General features: G+C 43.5%; 1 protein-coding gene across 28 annotated transcripts in view; it reads right to left on the bottom strand.

Annotated features, from left to right (window-relative positions):
• ZNF462 (zinc finger protein 462) overlaps positions 1 to 8,385 on the bottom strand; it is a 153,477-nt gene that overhangs the window by 142,690 nt on the left and 2,402 nt on the right. For 6 of the 28 annotated variants that reach the window (XM_006717209.5, XM_047423668.1, NM_021224.6 and 3 more), the window contains exon 1: positions 7,590 to 7,779. The exons of 10 other annotated variants lie outside the window; for them this stretch is intronic. The gene's annotated coding sequence lies outside the window, so the exon portion shown is untranslated. Of the gene's footprint in view, positions 1 to 4,753; positions 7,321 to 7,589; positions 7,780 to 8,385 lie in introns of those variants that run through there. 12 more of the 28 variants (XM_047423664.1, XM_047423677.1, XM_017014998.3 and 9 more) reach the window with 6 other exon arrangements.

The following is an 8,385-nucleotide window of genomic DNA, read 5'->3' as shown; positions in this document are numbered from 1 at the left end:
TAATGGCATTACCTTCTTAAATCTGAACAGGAAAAAGAAGAATTCCAAAATTTGGAGGCCTTAGCGTGTGTTCTGGTTCAACTGCTCAGACGAGAACTTAAGAGTGAGTTTGGCCTTCCCCAGCTGGGCTCTGTGGCGGCTAAGCTCTCTCCACAAATCCTGGGCTTTATTACTTCTGACACAGTTGTCTCACCTGGGCCTACAGCTCCTTTTGTGCTCCAACCAAGCTGAACCCAAAGGTAAGACTTCGCTTCCTCATCTTGGGCAAATGCTTAATTTCCTACTAAGTGATCCTAAAACATTCTAATCAGGATCTATTGGTTCCTAGTAGAATTTTCTCCATTTTTCCTGGTGTGGTCTTTGTTAAAATTTGTCTATGTGAAGGTCTAGCAAATAACTTCCTGAATTACACAGTTCTCATCTTCAAGTATTTATTTTTTGAACAAATAAGTACCTGTCAAACTTCCTTTCACCCTAAAGAACAGGGTCTACTCTTTGAATAAGGTTGGGGGTAAGATGTGGACAGGCGCAGCACAAGTATTTTATTAATATCCAGAAGCAACATGCAGTGAACTGAACAAGCAAACACATGAAAGCAAGGAAATCAATACCAAAATACCCATGACCTGGCACACAAAAAAAACCTTCCCTCCAAGAATAACTCAAGAAAAAATGTCTCCAGCTAGGAATTAGGCAAGAATGCTTTGAAGACACCAAGTAATGTGCTCACCAGAAGTAAAAGGCAATGCATTTGTAGGTGACAATACTAGCACCTCCTCACACCACACCACTCTATCCTTTGTCCTTCTAAGCCGTGAAAATAATTAACTTTGTGTTGGAATCACACATCCAAACACTTTAAAAATCCTGTACGTGCTTCAGCTGATGAGAATAGGAGGACTTAGAAAAAAGATAAATTTTATGATAGCATTTCCAAGCACAAAATGTAAATCCAAATTGCTTCCAATGGATTTCCCTTTTATCAGTGTGTGCAGTTCTCCAAATGCAAAGTTCAAGGGGAAAAAAAAAATCCAAAAGAGCTTCCTAGCATACTGCAAATACAATCTAAATTCATAAAAACCCATTTTCCCACATTTGGAAACTTCTCCTGGGTCTTATAAATCCAAGAGACAGTTCAACTTACAATTATCTTCTCTCCAATGCCCTCCCAACCCAAACTTTTTTTTCTTCCTTTAGTACTGGCATGCAAACCATGCTGTTTTAACTTCTTTCCTGTTCTCCCAGTTCTTCTGGAACATTTTATTTTCGACAGTCAACTCATTTGGAGGAGTGCCACACTGAGGTTCAACTGTTTACAGCGTTAACTGTGTTTCTGCCAGAAGTCCACATCCAGCACTACCTTCTCCAGACTGCCTCCTGGATTAAAAATTGATGCATTCGTTTGGAAGGAGCTTAGAAAATGTGGAAACTTCCAAACATCACTCTTCTTCTTTACAAAATCACTTTTGCTCATCCAAGAAGAGACAGAAGTGGAAACCCATTGCACCCTTCCTTACAGGACTGTCCCATTGCTCATGGTTAAATGTCTGTGTTGTTAAAAGTCATCTTAAGGATGATTTCATGTATACTGGGAAAATGGGAAAAGGTTAGCCATTAGTCTGCAAGAGAGTTGGGCTCCAAGAAGATACACGGAGGGCACATTTTGAATGAGTAAGAACATTGGAAAACCACCAGTAATTGTTTCAGACTGGATTTCACCCTCTCAGCCATTCATCAGTATTACAAAATGGCATCTCTGAAAGGAGCCAATTTAAATCTGCACCACGTTGCAAAATAGATCCTCAGAGTCCAATTGTGGGCACTATTGTAAGTTGCAATAGACTCACACAAACTTCCAAAGAAGGGCATTTGAGAAGGGCTCCCAAGCCCTTGGATGATGGAATGAGAGATGAGAGCAGGAAAGATGAAAAGAAAAGTACAGCTACAAACCCGGGAGCTAACACTTTACTGAATGTCACATGAACAAAATTGGGCTCTGGATCTATGAATGAAACCACGCTCAACCCTGGGCTCCCCAACGTGTTAAATCCAACTAAGAAAAATCCATACTCCTGCCCACTAGTGTATGAGTACAGAGTTTCTCAGAAAGCTGTGGGCCCTGGAGAAGAGAGCAGCTATTTCACAACCCTCAACAATCAAATGCAATGGGGTAGTGGAAAGGGCACTAGGCTGGAGTCGGCCGACCTGAGTTCTAGGCCTGGCTCGGTTACAACTGAACTTTCTGACCTTGTGCAAGTCACTTCATGTCTTTGTGCCAGTTTCCTCTTCAGTATAATGCAAGTGGAAGGAGGAGACTTCATCTAAATGATCTAGGGCCTAAAACAACTAGCTTCTAAGTTGGAAGTTCTGCCTGGTGAATATTAAATAACTAATAGTCCTTACTTACAGTGTACATATTTGTCACTTTTAAAATAATTTTGGTAATTTCTGCATGAGAAATAATATTTTTGCTCCTCACCCCGAAACTTCAGTTTTCACTCCCTACTCCCTAGAGTTCTTCCACATAACACTAAGTGCCTCTTTTCCTTTCTTTCTTATTTTTGTAAGCAACCTTCCCCAAACTAAGACTTGTGCTATTAAAAGAGCTTAGAACTTCCCATTTCCTTGCAAGGGCTAAAATTAAACTGTCCATTCCTTAGGGCCCAACATAACATCTGCCAGATGTCTTGGCATATCACACAAGGAGAGGAATTTTCTTCTAGCATTATCTACTCTCCTCTCTGTTTTCTCATAATCAATTAATAGGTCACCAACACCTAGCTAATGTTTCTCTCAAAGCCATCATACTCCATAAGTATGTGAAACTCACAAGATACTTGCTTTTACACACACTGATTTTTTTTTTTTTTCAGTTCACTGGATTTTAGCTTTCAGTCATGGAAATAGTCTCCCTCCACTTCTGCTGAATATACCAATCATCCCAGTCATACATTCATGTTAGATCCTTAGCAGTAAGAGTCCATTATGTATCTCCTATTTGTGACTGCGGCATTATGAAACAGCATCTCTGTTCTCCAATTATCAATTTAGAATATCTGATACAGTTTTGTCAATTTCATGATGCAGTGAAGTGTAAGTCTGAAAAAGGCACATACCATAAAGAAGATAAGTAAGGTTACCTTAACCAAGTAATTGCAACATCAAGGAATAATTTAAGACAGACTAGACCCTATTAAACTCCATCACACAGAAAAAAGGACTCTTTCCCATTGCAACTTTACCATTCCTTTCTTTCAGGAAAACCGACCACAAGTACTCTAAAGTCCATTAGTAGAGTTGGATTTTTTTTCTTCTGCTGTCTTCCGGAAGATTCATTAGGAAGAGCAGATAAGTTTGTTTTTTTTTTTTTCTCTAAAAGTTGTCTCCAACTCCAAAGAGTAAGGGGGAAAAAACAATTCCTCGGGGAATATGGTCAATGAATTAGACTGACATAAATCCAATATGAGAAATATTATGCAATGTGAGGATCCAACAAGAATTTTTTTATGGCAGGATGCATCATAGCTCGCAAATATTTCTCCATGATTTCTCCCTGTGATATATTAGAGCCATGGCAAAAAATTTGCATAATAAGCCACATGAACTTGTCTCATAAACAAAAATGATCTTTGAGCTTTGACATTAAATGAAAATGTCTGATTTAATACTTTTTATTTCTCTCATGGTGGTTTATTCAAAATACTTGTCTTAATTCAAATGGGTATGTCTAGAAAAATTCAAAAAACCATGTCCTTAAATATTATGGTGTTTGCCATGCTGGTGAAGGGCATCAGAGATGGATGTGTCTTAGATAACCAGTTAGAATGCATTTCCAAATTCCAAGATGCCTCTTAAATACCTATTTTTTCCCTTCCAGAAAAGTTCAACTCTAAGACGCCAACACATTTGGTTGCAAAGTAAAAAATGTGGAGAGTCAAACAGCTGGACTGACAACCAGATTGTCAGATGTTTCCCCCCTGCTGAAATGAGCAAATGAACCAATTGTCCTGCTATCAATAACAATAAAAAAAGATATCATGAAAGTTTGTTTCAAGATCAATATATAATGTACTTATGTTTACATAAACATACATGGTTAATTAGATGTAAAATTATCTGGTAATTACTTTTCCAAATAACTCTTTATCCATTGCAACTGAACTTCCCAGTTTGGACACCCAGTTTGGTGCATCCATTTATGCATTAGCAAATTTAAATATAATATTGGCGAAATTTCACTTAAGAGCAAAAGTAATGGTATCAAAAGATAATGTTCAAAAATGAATAATAAAAGTTATGATTCCAAGTAGGATTTTTTTTAAGTGCTCTTGGAGAGGCCTAGGTTTTTCATAAAGGAGCAGAGATCTAACAGAAGTATTTTTAAATAAGCATACACGTCAACTGAAACCATACATTTTTGTCTGCACAAACATGGTTTTACTTCATTGACCATGGACAATTATCAGCTAAAGAACCATGTATTTCCCCTCTCCTTTCACACCCCTCAGAAGAACAATAACCCTCAATTAATGACACAACAGTTTGGTTTGAAAAATGTGATGTTGTCATATACAGCACTGTGCATTTACTGAGTGACAGTGCTACCAGCTACTCAACAGAATATAATTACATCTGGAATCTAAAACCACTTCAATATGTACAAAAATATTTTAGACATAAGGAACTTTACACAAAAAAATCTGACACATAATGAGAAAGCAAAGCAAGAAAAATGCTGTTGTAAGTTGCTCACCAATGTGTTCCTTATTTCTGTTGAAGCTGGTACCTTTCTATATTTCTTCTTAGTTGAAAGCAAGGTCCAATTAGCCTCCTTAGAATATATTAACTGGTTCTGAATCTCCTCCAAGTTTTCATTCCACCGTGGAGCCCTCCTCACCTATCTTCAACAGTTCATCTAAAATTCTTCCAACATCTTCCCTCATCCTCAAGATGGCTACCTCACCTAATGGAAAAGCAACATCTTCATGGTTGGCTTTTAAAAATTCCTGAAGCATTTCGGGATTTAGTTCTTTGCTTGGGTCAATTATGTACATTCTCTAAAACTAATATGTGAAGAGCTCCCATCAATGTGTGTGGACTAGGGTAGCACTGGGTCCTTTTTTCAAATTATCCTCACAAAATGTCTTCCTACATGATTAATAAATTCCTCCCAATTAAAAAGGTGAAGATACCTGGACATAAGGTTTTCTCAACTGACATCATGTTTTTAAAATTTGTTTCCATAGCGACATTGTTAAGAAGACATACTGATATTTCTGAAGACTTAAGAGTACTTCAGAACACAGAAAAAATTAGCCGACGGAAAGGGAAAGGGGAAACAAAGAAACTGAAAGAAGGCCTAACATACAAATGGAACGACCTGAAGAGAAATGGAGAACCTGGAGAAACTGGTGTTAGCCAGTCTTAGAGTTCCTCTGAGATCTTGCAGGATTATTCTTATTATTTTTTATATTTGCAGAAATCAACTCAAATCAGACAATAAAGTCTTGCAATGCATCAAAACATGATGATAACCAAACCCTAGAACTCAAAAAAATCTCAGCTTAGGGCCATCACCATCTTCACAAGGAGGAAATCACATTTCCTGGTGACTTTCAGGAGACCTGGAGCAGCTTAAAGTTGTGTGAAGACCTCAGTGGAACTGTTTTAAGGTTTTTGCCTTGCCTTTCCTGAAGGAGGTCAAAACCCTTCAGGTCCACTCAAAAGGAGAAAAAAAATTCCAAAAGTTTACTTTAAAATGGAAACAAACGCCTCAATAACTTGTGAAAGCACTCTTTGGTGGAGAAAAATCTGAGGAACCCTTAAAAGCCCTCATTTCCTTGCATAATGAATAGACAGTGAGGAACCACCACAAGGTTTCCCTCTGGAAAGAGAGAAGGAGTAGGCAAGCAAGCCTCCTCCTCCTCCAGCCATCACCAACAGAGCTTCAAAATGGAGACATCCATAATTTTATAAACACTTCTCATCTCAGCTTTGTCTCCTGGAAACCCGCTCTCCTCCATTTTCTGGTGGAGTTACAACATGACACGGCTTACCTGACTCAGTTCCCAGCTCTTAACCAAACTAGTCACTTCCTCCAAAAACCTGCAAGCAACCTCCAGAAACAAAACCAAAGCAAACCAAACAGCCAACACAGACACTCAGACACAGCCCCCGGGAGCCCTGGGAGAAAGCCCCAACTGGTTGGTCTTTCCCCATCCCAGACGCGTGCTTAAAAATGAAACTTTTTTTTTTCTTGGTTGGGGAGGAATATAAAAGGAACTCCAGGCAGCCTCCCTCCCTCCCTCTCTGTAGGTTAGAAGCCACAATGAAAAGAAAACGAGGGTTCCTTCAGGAATGGTGAACAGCCTGGAGAATGAACGTGAGAAGGAGCTTTGTGTTTTGGAGTCTGGACTGGAACCAAAGCAGACAGCTTGCAAATGGAGGACAGGGAGATAAAGAAAGGGAAAGAGGGGCTGCTCCAATGGGGGGCGGCTGCGGCTTCCCCTCGTGCCTGGAAGGAGGGCAGACCCCTGGGAACTGCACCAGGAGTGAGACGCCCCCCCAGGCCCCTGCCTTCCTTTCTCCCTTCCTCAGAGGAGAGCCAAGCGTGTGTAATGGCTTCTCCTCTCCAGAAACCGTTGTCCTCCTCCACCAGACGCTTCTGAACCTCCAGCCTGGAGACAGCTCCTCAGCCGCTCCTGAACCTGCGCCCCCCACCCGGCCGGTGCCCCCCGCTCCTCGCCTCTCTGTTCACCAGCAGCACCGGCACCAGCAGCTGCAGCAGCCACCCCCCGACACATCCCGACCCCGCATCCCAACTTCGGGGAGAGGGAGAGAGAGAGAGAGAGAGAGAGAGAGAGAGAGAGAGAGAGAGAGAGAGAGAGAGAGAGAGAGAGAGAGAGCCAAATACCTGAGGAAGAGGGGGGCTGCCAATCCGCACGGCTTTGCCATCGGGCGGGGGACAGGCAGACAGAAGGGGGAAAGGAAGGAGAGGGACAGAGAAAGAAAGAGGTCAACCCGCTCAGGTCGGGGCCGCTCGCACGGAGCTCTCCCTCCTCTGACCCTCGCTCGCTCCCTCTGGCTCTCGGCTCAGGTCTCCGGCCTCCCGCCCTCCGCCCCCCTCTGTCCCTACTCCTGTCCCCACACTCGGAGCATCCGTCCTAAGCCTCCAGCTCTCTTCTCACTCATCTTTCATTTTCTCTTCTCTTCATAGAACTACACGAAATTAATTAAGCCACCGCGCTCACTCCCCCCAGCAGGAGCAGCAGCCAGCAGGAAAAGCACAGCCACCTCCACTGCCACCACTACCACCTTCTCCTCCTCTTCCTCCTCCTCCTCTTCCTCCCTCGCTTCTCCTCCTCCTCTTCCTCCTCCCCCTCCTGCTCTCCCTCCTCCCCCTCCTCCTCTTCTCTCTCGCTTCTTCTCCTCTTCCAACAGCCAGTCCATGCAGGGGACTTCCTCTCCTCCCCGCTCCTCCAACCCTCCTTGGCCGAATGAATGAGCGCGTTTGTGCCTCCACCACCCCGCGCTCTCTTCCCCGGAGCACTCGGACCACCCCGAGGTGGTTGTTAATTGCAGTAACTTACAGAAGAAGCGTCCCGGCGCCGGGAGGTGCTTCGGGTTCTCCAGCCCCACCGCCTCCTTATCCTCTTTCTCTTTCTCCTCTTCCTGCTCGGGTTATTGTTGTGGAAGTTGTTTGGGAGTCTCATGTGCTTCTGCCGGGTCTCAGCAATGGAGGATCGCCATCTTCCCTGCCTTCCTCGGCTCCTCAGACTCGCTGCAGCTGCAGATGACCTGAGATATCCGTCTCTCTCCCTCTCTCTCTCTCTCCCTCCCTCCCTCTCCCTCTCACTCTCTCTCTCCCCTCTCTCTCCTCTTCTCTCTCCTCTCCTCCCTCTCCCTCGCGCGCTCTCTCTCTCTCCCTCCCTCTGTGTCTCTCTCTGAATAATGAGCAACCAGGGGGAGAGAGAAAGCAAGACAGAAAGAGAGAAGGAAGACAATCTTCTCCTGCCACACAAAACGCCGGAGCACCAGGGGGTGCGCGAAGCCTTTCTAATAACAACAACAACGTGCAGCAGAGAGGAAGGAAAAAAAGAAAGAAAGAAAGAAATGAGGAAAAAGGCTAGGGGAAAAAAGAGGAAGAATTATCCAAGAGCTCGAGAAGAGCAGAAGGAGAAGCTGGAGGAGATGCTGAGGCTGCTGCTGCTGTTCCCCCTCCCCCCTGCTGAACCCCAGAAGGAGGCAAGGTGGTTGCAAAGTTAAGGCTGGGACATTGTCTTTGTCACTCAGAGCCAGGCCAGTGAGATGCAAGAGGAGGAGGTGGCGGCGGCAGAGGAGGAGGAGGTGGTGGTGGAGGAGGGGGAGGAAGAGGAGGAGAAGGAG

The sequence above is a fragment of the Homo sapiens genome, chromosome 9, assembly GCF_000001405.40.
Source record: "Homo sapiens chromosome 9, GRCh38.p14 Primary Assembly".
Lineage (NCBI taxonomy): Eukaryota > Metazoa > Chordata > Mammalia > Primates > Hominidae > Homo > Homo sapiens.
Note: the sequence above shows the minus strand (reverse complement) of the source record. Positions and strands in the feature narration are given on the sequence as shown.